Here is a 13,316-nt window from a genome sequence, read left to right as displayed (position 1 = left end):
TGATTAAAATCTAGGTTCAAATATTAAGTTCTTTTTTTTCCTGAAAGGATTTCCATGATGTAGTTTGAAAAAAAGCAATTTCATTTTTCATTAGATTCAAAGTTTGGGGAATGATGGGAGAGGAGGAGATGGGATATGATTGATTAATCTGTATAAAAATAGGCCCCATGCTGGGATTTTTCCTTTTGCACTAATTCTGTGTGACATCTGAGCCAAAAAAATACATAAAACCAATGCCATATGTGCTGAGCCTGCTGGTGCTTATTTTAAAACGCATGAAGAGTTGACCCAGATTATATTTTGCAGCTTTATATTTATTTTAATGCCACTTTAATTTCCACTTCTTCTGGCATATTCTCTTCTTTCCTTCTGTTTTCCCTGGAAAGAACGTGGCATGTGCACCAAGGACTATACCAAGTCACTTGAATGAAAAAAAGGAGCAGGGGGGTAGCATTTGTAGGATGTGGTTTAAAATGAGGTCTTGAGAGGCTGGGAACTTGGAATCAATGTATGTTCATACATGCTGAATATGTTTAGCTAAACATAATTTCAGATGCAATATCACTCAGATGGCCTAGCTAGAATAAGCCTTCTATTTTAAAGTTGCAATGGAACAATTAAATCCTTAGCAATATCCCCACTAGCATGGTGACTTTTACTTATATTCTGCTAGTCTGTGAACAAAATAATGCCCCACTTTCTATTCCATTGTTATTAGTCACACATGCACATGCTCTGATGGTGCACAGTTCGTCAGTTGCTTGCTGGTACCTGGTGCTTCTGTCATGATATTCGGGTCATATCTGGGGAGCTTTCTGAGGTCTCAGCTGACGTTTCTATTTGTTGCATCCTTTTCCATCAGGAGAGTTTGTGGCACTTTCAGAGTAAGGGATGCTTCCTTGTCTTACATGGCAGCAACATTATTCAGGGAAACTGGATCTTCCTGAGTGTTTGGCTTCTTGTACTCACCTCTGAGGTTGAGATAGGCAGGCTCTGTGAGCCTCTGCCAGGAAGATCTGATTTCTGCCGAGACTACTGGCGGGCCTGACTGTTCTTGAAAGATGAAGGCTATGCCTGTATCCGATACTGGGTTACTGCCTGACATCCAATGCCCTTTCCCTCATCGTTAGAGGAAGAAGTGAAAGACCCAAGCCACGAGCTTAGAAGCACTAGTGCACAGAGGGCAATGGTTTAGAATCTGCAGATTGCTCCATAGCCTCCTATACTGCCCAGCCCAGAGAACCAGGGACAGTAAAGGGATTTTTCCCATGCAACACTGGGTCATTCTCAAGTTTTGGATAAGATTCTCCAACTCAGCATTTCCACCCTTCCTTTTCTTCTCAGTCTCAGCTACCATTTAAAAGAACTGAACCTGGTAATGCTACTCATTTGTTTTTTTAAACGAATGTTTATTAATGTGCTAGGCAGTGACCAGGCACTGGGTACAACAATAAACTAGGGGATCCCTGTATGTTGTGATATGTTTCAGGAGGAAGCGTAGTGTCCAGTGGGAGCCCAGAGGATGACCATGTTACCTAGACTCTGGGGTCTGGGAAGGGTCCCAGGAAAAGTAATGCAATATTGATACTTATAAAGGGTAAAACTGTATTTTTAAGGCAAAGACACTTAGGGATTTGAACTTCACATGCAATCGTTGTTAACTTAAATACTATGTATGCCCTTAGAGGCAGTGTTTTTTTTTAAATTCTATTGTTATGGTAACCATGTTATATTTAATAATAATTTTTTAGATGGCTCCTTTCTCTACTAGAATGTGAACCTGTCTAGGAATAAGATCACGTTTTCTTTTTTCTTTCTTTTCTTCTTTCTCTCCTCTCTTTCTTTATTTCTCTCTGATAAGCATTTGTTTTAAATTCAGTTTTGCTGCTTCCCTTATTTCTTTATAAATACTACATATAATGTGATGCATAAAGAGAATGTATGTGACATATGCGTGAGCTGGGTAGAATAATAATAAAGCAAAACTTGTGATTTCACCTTCCACTTTAAGATTTACCACCAGGGAAGCTGCCTGCACACTCCTCCCAGATCCTATTCTCTGACTACCCCAGGGGTAACCACTGTACTGAAATGTGTGTTTTAACATTTCCTTGCACTTTAAAAATAATGTTACCAGCTTAGATATGTGCCCTTTACAATATGTTGGGGGGTATTTTCAAAACTACTGTTTCCAAAGCCTGCTTATTCCCTTGTTTTTACTGCCATGCAAACACTCTTTGATGGTCCTAAAAAGAGTGGCCTTGATTTATTTTTCGTAATACTCTGCTTTGCTTTTCCATTTTATTTTGGTTTTTCACAGAACATTGTGGGCTGGAGAGGGAAGGGGTGGAGAAAGTAGAGAACACTGAGTACACTTGAATTTAAAAGTTAACTTGTGTAGGGGGGTGGGGCAGAGTAGCTGGGCAAGCAAAGGGTTGGCCTGGGAACATGTGCTTTGTGCCAGATGTCACTGAGAGTGAGATCCTGGGGAAGGTTCCACTAAAGGAGTCCAAGGAAATGCAGAGCATAATTTGTGAGCAGAGCAAAATCCAATTGTGAGTATGCTTCATTCATTTTAAGTGCTATAAACCACACCAGGATTTGTAGAAAATGTTTTTGGAAGGATGAGTGGGAGTTCAAAAACATTTTGTTCAGAAGCTTGAGAGTTAGAATAATTTTCAATTGATAGACAATGGTATGAGGTGAAATGTTGTTGCTTGCTGCTGGAGACAGAGCTCTTTGCCTCTTGTCGGCTTCCGCCCCAGCTCGAGAAGGAAGACAGAAGTAGGAGCGAGGCATCCCAGTGCATGTCCCCTCCTGGGGCGGACACTGGGCTCTGTGGTCCTTGCACAGGTGTCCCAAGGCAGGCGTGCAGGAACTGTTCCGCCTGCTTTCCACCTGCTTTCCTGTGACCACATCACCTGATCCAGGCATTTCTCTGTTGTGCTGCCAGGACTTATCTTGGAAATATTTTCTTGTGACTTCATTATTCTGTTTCTCCCTTTCTCATTTGAGTTCCTTGAACACATGTCAGGGTTAAAAACAACCCCAACGCCACTAAGCCTTCCATTTCTCCATTTGCTTTTGTTCTCACACTCCCTACAGATGCCAGAAATTGCCAGAATTTACCCAGCTTATTTGTTTTATTGTATTGACGTTTGTGCTTGCAAACGAAATTTACATGAAAGATTACACAGACACCTGTAATCCCAGCACTTTGGGAGGCCAAAGTGGGTGGATCGCTTGAGGTCAGGAGTTCGAGACCAGCCTGGTCAACATGATGAAACCTGTCTCTACCAAAAATGCAAAAATTAACCGGGTGTGGTGGCATGCTCCTGTAATCACAATTACTCAGGAGGCTGAGGCAGAAGGATCACCTGAGCCCAGGAGGCAGAGGTTGTAGAGAGCCGAGTTTATGCCACTACACTCCAGCCTGGACGATGGGAGTGAAACCCTGTCTCAAAAAAAAAAAAAAAAAAAAATTACACAGAGGTTAAATCTAGTATTGATCTTGGAGTACCTCAATCCATTCTTATCAGATTATCCAATTCTTCACAAATTCTTCAGGCAATATATAAGAGACATTGTTCTTTTCATTTGATTGAGATATTTCCCATTTTGTTTGCTTTTCCAAACATACGTATCTCCACTCAATTGTTCTTTTATGTGGGTAGCACTGCAGTCAAGCATATGGCATAAGATAAAGGTGTTTTTTAATGTTTAACTTGACTTTATCCTTTTTCTATTTTTAATCATTTTGTCCATCTGGAGTGTCAAATGATTTTGAACCCATACAGTTAATTTTGTGGAACCTAAGAGCTACCTGGAAAGGGTCTCCTTTTTCAGCATTCCTTTTCCCTTACCTTATGACCCATCTCCAAACTGTAACAGTCACCTGAATTCCCCACCAGCCTCCAGTCTCTCCTTCAGATATTGCTGTCATGTTGTCTTCATAAAGCATCACTGTTCATGTTACCACCCCAAACAAAACTCATTATGGTTCTCTCTTGCCTTCAGTATGTCATAGTTCCCTCTTGCCCATAGCATAATTTTTACATTTTTCAACTCTCTGGTTACAACTCACCTTTTTGGCTGCATTTTCTCATATGATCACTATATTCTAGCCATACAAGGGACTCCATATATGTACTAAACATGCCCTGTGTTTTTCTTCCTCTGTGTTTTAGTTCATGTGATCTCTTTCACCCAAGGTCAACTCCTGTCCATGCCCCCAACACTATATTCTTCCTGGTGTATCAGGGCCATCTCAAGTGTCATCTCTCCCATGACATATTCCCCTGCCCTCATCCCTTCACCCTAGCTAAGAAGATTTCTTCCTCCTCTGTGTTTTCTGGGTGCCCGCCCTCTCTGTTTGCACTCATTGTATTCTGCCTTATATCCTGGTTGTTTGTCTGTATAGTCTAACTCCTCCTAGGAAACCCTTGAGCATTGGAACTGTTTCTCCATGCCTCCCCCATCCAGTGCCTTAGCCTAGGAAGTGTTTAACGCATAGTTGAGATGGACTAGATTGAACATTGTTGTCTTGGTTTCCTGATCTTAGATCTTTGTGAATTCTGATCACAAGGATCAAGCAGAGTGATGTCAGACAAGCCAGCTCTGCTGCTTAGTAGCTCTGTGATTTGGGGTGAGTCTCAGCATCACTCAGAACTTTGGTTTCCTGGTCTTTACTTGTATGTCTTTGGGAGGAAGGATTAAAGGAAATAGCAGCTGTAGAGTTCTTGGCAGAGTAGGCTCTGAGTCCACAGTGGCTAGTGGCATTATTATCTGATGCTGTCATCCGATGCATTAGTTATCCCTTCAAGGTTTTGTGTAATCAGGAGTCTGCCGCCAACACCACACCATCCATGATTTCATTCATGTCATTAATAAAGCATGTTAAATAGGATATGGACAACACCAGGGCCAGGTGATGTGTTACTAGAGATTTCCCTAGAGGTTGACAGACAGTCCATTTGTCAACATCCCGTGGGTACTGGACTGTGCTATCACCCAATGCACACATGTCGACCTTGTTCATAAGAGTATCCTAAGTGTTTGCATTAAACGTCTGCTGAACTCCAAATATGTGATGTATGTGGCCATGTTAACTCCTTCAGAAAAGGATGTGCAGATTGTTTTTCACATCTGAGCCAGTGAACTCCTGCTGGCTCCTTCTTGCCTTATTAAAGGACTTTCTCTACAATTTTACTGGAAATCAACACCAAACAGCAGTTTGTGATTTTCAGAATTTATCTTTTCTCTATGTTCATGACCTGCAGAGTTTTTGCCCATTTCCAATCTTCTACCTCCCATCCTTTCCAGTTTCTCAAAGTTAATGATACCATTTCTGCAATCATATATGTAAGTTCTTTTGGTACCTTTCTTCCCTCATTCATTAAATATTCTTCTGAGTCTCCTATAAGCCAGGCTCTGTGCTCTTGGCTCTGGGGATGCAGTGATGAACAAGACAGAGGTCTTTGCAGTTAGCGTGGTTTTTGCATGCTGGTATCCTGGGCTGAAAACTTGACTTTTAAGAGGTTTGGGCATACAGGCTGGAAGTAGGAGTGGAAGGGAGTATTTTTGTCCTAATTGGAAATAACATCAGTCTGTCAATCCAACCTAAAGGGCAAAATAGGAGAAAGAGGAGCTATCCCTAAATGCCAATGGTGGAGAAACTTTTAATGCTGTGAAATAACATTTCAAAACAACAGCACCTACTCTGTGCTAAACCCTGTGTGACACATGGGGATACAAAAGAACACGCCCTCAAGGAGCTGACAAGCATACTGGAAAATATGTTAAAGCAAACAGGCAATTGCAGTGCAATGTGATAAATACTTGTTAAATTCTTGGTGGGGTCAGATAAAGGAGGGCCACCTAATCCCCTTCCTGAAGGAAGTAAAGCTCAAGGCTAAACTGAGACCTGAAGAACAGGTAGTAGTTAGCCAAGCCCAGAGGGATGGGAAAATAATCCAGCTAGAGGGAACAGCATGTGTGAAAGCTGGGAGTCTAGAGGCTATCGTGCCTCCTTCAGGAAACTGTGAATGGTTCCATTGGCAGTGGTTATGGTATGACAGTCTGAAGAGATTATGGAGGGTTTGTAAATCGTGCTAAAGAGTTTGGACTTCATGGACACAGGGTGCCATTGAGGAGTTTCAACAAGGGAATTGCCTAATGAGGTTTCTTCTCTGGAGTAGTGTGGAAGACAAACTGCTCAGGGCCACAAGGAGCAGCTGGGCACAGTGTGATGCTGTTTCAGTAATTCTGGGTGAGAAATGATGATGGCCTCAGGTGGAGAATTCAGGATGGGAAAGAGCAGACAGATGACACAGTTACTAAACAGACAGATTTGAAAACAAGAAGCATTTGTTGTAGTGATTTCTCAACATTACTGTGCGTAGAAGATCACCTGGGCAATTTGTGAAAATGGATTATGAGGCTGACTTAAAGAAATTTCAATCAGCAGATCTGGAGTATGAGTCAAGAATCTGTATTTTTAACAAAGAGGCCAGGTGATACTGATGCAGGTGGTCCTCAGACTGTACCATAAAAAACCCTATCTATTTGATGTTTCAAATGGCAACACTTCTTTAAAATGTATTTCTGTTATGTTAACTTTTTGCTTAAGAATGAAGATTCAATCCTATTATCTTTGTCGAAAGTAGATGAATGACACAGCCCCAGGGTTTACTGTGCAAGGGCAGTCTCCTTGCTAGTATAGTCTGTGTTCACTAATTGTTTGCTCTCTGGTGGGGGATACAGAATAGAGTAGTGATGATTTCGTTAAGACTTTTTATTGCAGATTGTTTGTAAATGTGTTTTCAAAGGTTTCAGTGCAAGCAAACACTTTGGGTGGGATGGGGGGTGAGGGTGGCAAAATTGCCCCAAGTCTTGAAGTTCCACGCAGGTATACTTTCCTGGTGTTTAAGGCACATTTTGAATCTTATTGTGATGTTTCAGATCCCCACATAAGGGCTGTGTGACCTTCAGCAACTTACCTGTTGTCTACTTTCCTCACCTGTAAAATAGGAATAATAATTGTACCTCTTTCATATGCTTGATATGAAGATTCAATGAGAATGCCTGTAAGGCACTTTGAACAGGGTGTGAACATAACAAGCCATTTCTAACTATTCCCGAGAGAAACTAGGTCATCTACAACTTATCACTTGTATTTAGAGTTTAGTCACTTAATAAATACCTTTCCTTCTTAAATCACATTACTTAGATAGTCTACAGTGCCCATATGGAAGAATTATTAGAAAAATTTAGTGTTTAGCAGCACACATACCAAACACGTGGATAAGTAGGCTAATGATGATGATGATGATGAGTATTTACTGTGCACTTACAGTAGTTCATATTATGGCGTTTAATTCTCACAAAAATTCCATATGATAGGTACTCTTTTAGTCCCTTTTTACAGTGAGTAAACTTAGGCATAGAGAGGTTAAGTGATTGCCTGAGGTCACACTGTCATTAATGAAAGAGTGGATATTTGAGCCCTGAATCTGCTGATGCTAGCACCTGCTCTTAACCACAGCTGTTAAAAACATATTGTCAATTACATGCAGCATGGTTAGTACCACTCAGTATTATGCCAAGTAAATTAAGCAGTTCACTCATTTTGGATGTGAAATATGTAAAAATGTTCCCAAAATATATACTACAGTGTGTATCTGTATGTCAAATTACAGTCAAGCCGGCTGCTCTCACTTTGTCAGAGGCAGCCATTCAGGAAGCTGCTGGGGGATCTCAGGCATAGGCCTGTCTTAGGGCAGTGGTCCTCAAACTTTAGCATCTATATTCCTGGAGGGCTTATTAAAACATATATTACTGGGTCTCACCTCTACCCATAAGTTATTTAATCTTACAGAATGTCACCTCTGCTCCTAAATTAGTCATCTTCTCATTCTTCTGAAACAGTGACTCTCAAAGAGTGGCTCCAAACCAGCAGCATCAGCACCACCTGGGAAACATGTTTCTGACTCACTGAGGATGGTTTAAAATCTATCCCATAATTGCCTGACTCGCTCAACAGACATTTAACTTCACAAAGACATTTTGAAGTGACAAGTCATCAGCTCTAACACATAGATGCTTAGATAAAAATCAAAAGATAGAAATTTTTACTTTGCCTGTAACATCTAAAAAGCATAGCAGTTACTTCCTCATATAGACTCAAAAAACTTTTTTTTGAGACAGGGCCTTACTCTGTCACCCAGGCTGGAGTGCAGTGGCATGCTCATGGCTCACTGCAGCCTCAACCTCCGGGGCTCAATTGATCTTCCCACCTCAGTCACCTGAGTAGTGGGACTATAAGCGCATGCCACCATGCCTGGCTAATTTTTTTTTTTTCAGAGATGGGGTTTTACCATTTTACCCAGGCTGGTCTCGAACCCCTGGGCTCAATTGATCTGCCTATCTCAGCCTCCCAAAGTGCTGGGATTACAGACGGGAGCCACTGCACCCAGCTTTAATATAGAGACTTAACTGGTGGCTTCTCCTTCTCCAAAACAGTGGGGCTTGCCTTAAAATGATGATCTTTTCTTCGCTTGCAACTTGGAATTAGGCCTTGGAATTAGGAACAAGTTCTGGGCTGCATTAAACACCAGCACATACCGTCAGGGAAGCTTTCCCCCATCACTCTTCCTCCCCACTTTGGGACAAGAGGTTTCTCCCTCGATGAGGTTGTATGCATAATCCAGCAACTCTGGGTCAGCTTCTCATGTTCATGGGCCCATCTCCTTGCCAAGTCTTAAGTACAGGGTTGTGAAGTGACCTAAGCCAAACTCAACAGGGCATCACGTAATTCCTGATCTTTGAGGGCTATTCAGGGTCAGAGCTACCATGAGACAATGGGTCACCTTAGGCATATTGGACCCTAAAATTGGAATAAGGTAAAACAGAGATTCTAGTTTTACTTTTACTCTTCATAACTACTTTTAATTATTCATAATGATAGGAAGAAGGGTAAATAAAAGTACAAATCTGTAAGGACAGGTGATCCACAGAGCATTTCTTTTTGCCTATGGAATACATTATTAAGAGTAGATTTCCTCTTGATTTTTCTTCTTAGACTCTGGAAATGCAAATACATGTTTATCAGAATGGAAAATCTAGCTAAATGAGTAACTGGAATAAAGTCAACTCATTTTCTCATTATCGGGAGAATGAAGTATAAATTATGGATAAAAATCACACACTCTAATATTATGTAGCAGTCAAATGAACACACTACAACTATATGGAGAATTTTCGCAATATAATATTGAATGAAAATTGTCCCAAAAGATTGTATATACATCATGATAACCTGTTTTATTTTAAAAAGTTAAAAACAAATAAAACAAAAATCCTCAAATTCTACCTTTTAAAAATACATAGATGTGATCATTCTTTGTAAAAGTGAACGCAAGGAAATGGTGAACAGGGGATAAGATAAAGGAAGACCACATAAATGCATGTAAGTTAGTGTCACTGTTCTAGTTTTTGTGATGGATTGGTGGTTTCTTCATTTATTATATTAAACATAAACAAAACATAAATACCTAAACAGAGCAGTCAGTAAATAAATAAATTAAAGATAGCCTTGCATGGGCCAATGATGACAGAATGTCAAAAACCAAGAATTATGATTAATCCAGTTCTTTGTATCTGAGACTCTTTTAAAAAATACATTGAGAGAACAACTTTCTAGGTCATAGAGAAAATAATGAAATGTCATTCACGTATAGAAAAATAGTTCCATGCTTAGTTTCGTATGGCACTCTCTGACCTGCCACTTCCTCACCTCACACGTCAGCAGGTTCAGCCTCTAAATGGAGATCAAGAAGGGCACGGATCAGTAGACCATTAAGGGTTGTCAGTGGAATCACTTCAGACAGAATTGTGGCTGTAGGATCCCTAGAATAGGAAAAATATGTGCTTCCTTTTCTTTCATTTTCACCTCTCTGAGTAAGGTAATATGTTTGCATATTTTATTAGAGAAGTGAAAGTGGGAATTTTAGAAAATGAAAAAGACCTGTGTGTCAAATATGAGCAACTCTTAACCTGACCAGTGGCAACCACTGGGACCTGTGTCTAAGGAAGGTTTTAAATTCGCCTGCCTCCAAGTTCCCTTTATTGCCTCATTCCCTGCTGTTGCTTCTAATTCTTTCAGCATTACCATCTCTGTGTGCTGTTCCCTTCACACTGTGCTGTCTCCACAGCTCTGCATGCTACAGTCCTGAATTGTTGTAAATGGCTTCAAAACCTGGCTAGTTCAGTGTGCCTCCTCCATGAAGTCTTCATGCTTCCAGCAGGAAACAGTCTTTCCCATTGTTGACCTCTCTTAGCACCTAACTTGAGTCCCTCCTAAGACATTTGCCTCTCTCTGAAGGCAGGACTATGGTCTCAGCCCACGTGTGCTAGCAAAAAGCTGGAGAACACACAAATATGAACTGATGTGGAGATAACAGCTCTCACCATGTGTTATTCGTGAGCCACAGACCCTATAAGAAGGGTTGGGTCATTAGCTCCCTGTTGTTTAGTGTGCTGCAGGCCTTCCTGTGAAATTGGGATATTCAGTCAATACAGCTAAGGAGGATTTACTCACTGACTTATAATCTAAAAGAAGAATTTTTACCATCCTCTGCCAGGACCATCTTTTATTTTTTTTATTTTCATGCTTGTTTTGAATCCTTTCTTGCCACTCACACTACACAACAGCCTCGCCTCATTCCTTGTCACTGTTCTAAGTTCTTCCAGATTTTGGCCTCACATGTTTTGGGACCTTGATATGGTTCAAAGAGGGTAATCATAAGAAGAAAAGTAAAAATAATAGTGAAATTTTAAAGTGCTTACTGAGTGCCAGCACTATTTTTACATGTTTTACATATATTATCTTACATCATCCTTACAACAACTCTATGAAATAGATACTATTATTATTCTCCTTTCATAGAAAAAAATGAAGCTCAGAGAGCTTGTCTTTCCCAAGGTCACACAGCTAGCAACTGAAACTACTAAACCATATTATTTTTAAAAAGGCAGAGAAATAACTTCATAGAGACTGAAAGTACAAGTGAGAAAGAGAGAGGAGGGTGAAAGCATGTCAAGATATTGGAAGGGGAGCATGGTTGAGTCCAGTGTCAGAACTCTGCTCTGTTTAAATGCAGTGGAGGTGGAGGTCAGTGCTACTGAGAAAATCCAGGGAGTGAGCCACGTGCGAGACATATGCAACCTTCCTGACACTCTGAGTGCCACTGCCAAGGGAAGAAAGGAACCTGTGGGTTGAGAAGATAGTGTGCCCTGGAAGTTGTCACACAGTGAGGATGAAGATGGGGGTTGAATGGTCAAGGTTGTTAGGTCTTAGAGTCAATTAAGAAAAGCCATGTTTAAGTACAGAAGTGAGTTTTTTAAAAAAAATTATTTTAGGGCCCCATTGGATGTCTTGGCAACGAGTTGTGAATTATGTCATCTGTTTCCCAGTAAGTGGGTGTTTTATTCCATTTGTGGTCTAGAATTGCAAGCAGACAGCACCACCTCACTGAGATGAAGAAGAGTGGAGAATGAGGTGACTCCAAAACATTCTCATCTTTTCCTTCTCCCTTATATTCTGGACTGAGTCATAGACTTAAATCCTAGCCCTGTCCTGACCTTCTGTCTTTCCTGGTGTCTCACTCCCCATTTTTCTCTCCCAGTCCTTCATCACCTCCTTCCTCCCCTATGAATGCCTCCTGCAATGACACCCCTGCTCCGCACCCAGCACCACCATTAGTGCTGCTCTTCCTGATGTAGGTTTTCCTGCCAGACAGGAGGGCAGGCATCTCATTTTGGTAAACACTGGATAAATGCTTCTCCTTAAATAGAAGCAGCAGGCTTTCCAGCTAGTTCTTTTAAGGGGGTAGAAATTCAGTTCACTTCAGTAAATTTGACAAGAAATCAAAGATAAGTCCCATGTACAAGTCTGTAAAATACTTCAGGGAGGATTTGCTCTGTTATTACTTGGTCCCCAACATAATGAGCTAGGATGACATTTATGACCACGGTGGATGTAACCTTTCCCAGACCTGTTGGGTGAAAGGCAGTGGGGGAAGGGCTGCCCGTTGGACATGCCTGCCACTGGAGTGGTTCCTGAGCTGAGTCAGTGTGGGAGATGATGAATGCCTGTGTGTAGTTCCTTTGATGCTGTGAAGCATGTCTGCCATGGAAAATTCAGGTTGGCACTGATGGAATAACCCCAGTGCAGGGTATGCTGGATTGTGAAATGTTATTTCTCTGCTGAATGGCATTTGACACGTTCAACAGCACACTGGTTGGACCCTTCTCTTTTACAACAGGATTATGAGGACTTTGAACCATGAACCAACTGTTAAGTGTCCTACTAGCTTTGCAAACCAACATTTGTGTACATGAGTTTGGCTGGAACTGGCCCAGTTTCAAACAACCTGTGCCTTATGTACATTCTGTCTTTCCCTCCAGTCCTCTGATAATGTATTCACTCCAGGCAAGTGTTTCTGGAGAGCCGTGGGGGTACAGATCATTCTGTAGATTAAATTCTTCTCTCAGAGTGCACTTTGCCCGTGAATTTCTTCCTCTTCCTTTTGCTGGCCTGTCTGTCTTCATTTCTGCTCACTCATTGTTCACATCGCACTGAAGAGAGCTCTTGCAATTTGACAGAACTTGGAGAGAAAGTCCAGGCACTTTTTTACCTTTGGAGCTCTCTTCCTCATAATATGGTTCATGGACCACCTGCTGCACAATCAGCTATAGTAATTATCAAAAATGCAGATGCCTGGGCCACCCTCCTCCCAGATCTTCTGAACTGGAATTTTTGTGAGAGTTTCCCAGAAATCTGCACTATTATTAAACTTCCCAGATAAATCTTCATGCACAGTTAGGTTTAGGAACCACTGCATTATTAATAATAATTTTAAGATTCGTATTTATGAGTGTGTCAAGCACTTTCTATGCATTAACTCAATTCATTTTCACAGCAACCCAATGGGATGGGAATCATTATCTTTGCACTTAAAACAGGATTTGACACATGGCAGGTGCTCAATAACTTTTTGCTAAATAAATAATAAATTAACCTTTTAAAATGTGTGTGTATACATATATAAGTAAGGCTTAGATAAGTTAAAAAAAACTTGGTCAAGATACACAACTAGTGACAGGTGGAGCTGGGCTTTATAGCTACTTCTGGTCAGAAACTTTCACTTCTCCTTGTTTATTGAAGTTTCTTTACACCCTCTTTGCTTATCATTTCTCTGATTCACTCTTCTTGTTCAGCAGATGGGTCACCTGTATTTCTGCTTAGACAGGTAGCT

At 41.0% G+C, this 13,316-nt stretch overlaps 1 protein-coding gene across 19 annotated transcripts in view, besides 1 other annotated feature; it reads left to right on the top strand.

The window, feature by feature from the left end:
* Window positions 1–13,316, top strand: part of SYBU (syntabulin) — a 117,623-nt gene that overhangs the window by 85,689 nt on the left and 18,618 nt on the right. Inside the window, exon 1 of one of the 19 annotated variants that reach the window (NM_001363032.2) lies at window positions 2,453–2,555. The exons of the other annotated variants lie outside the window; for them this stretch is intronic. The gene's annotated coding sequence lies outside the window, so the exon portion shown is untranslated. Of the gene's footprint in view, window positions 1–2,452; window positions 2,556–13,316 lie in introns of those variants that run through there. 19 annotated transcript variants of the gene reach the window in all.
* Window positions 10,275–10,354: an enhancer, noted in NCBI's record as "active region_27812". NCBI's record gives its function as "activates an Ori minimal core promoter by ATAC-STARR-seq in GM12878 lymphoblastoid cells {active_cell/tissue: GM12878}" and the evidence as "EXISTENCE:reporter gene assay evidence [ECO:0000049][PMID:35858748]".

Source organism: Homo sapiens, chromosome 8 (assembly GCF_000001405.40).
Source record: "Homo sapiens chromosome 8, GRCh38.p14 Primary Assembly".
Lineage (NCBI taxonomy): Eukaryota > Metazoa > Chordata > Mammalia > Primates > Hominidae > Homo > Homo sapiens.
Note: the sequence above shows the minus strand (reverse complement) of the source record. Positions and strands in the feature narration are given on the sequence as shown.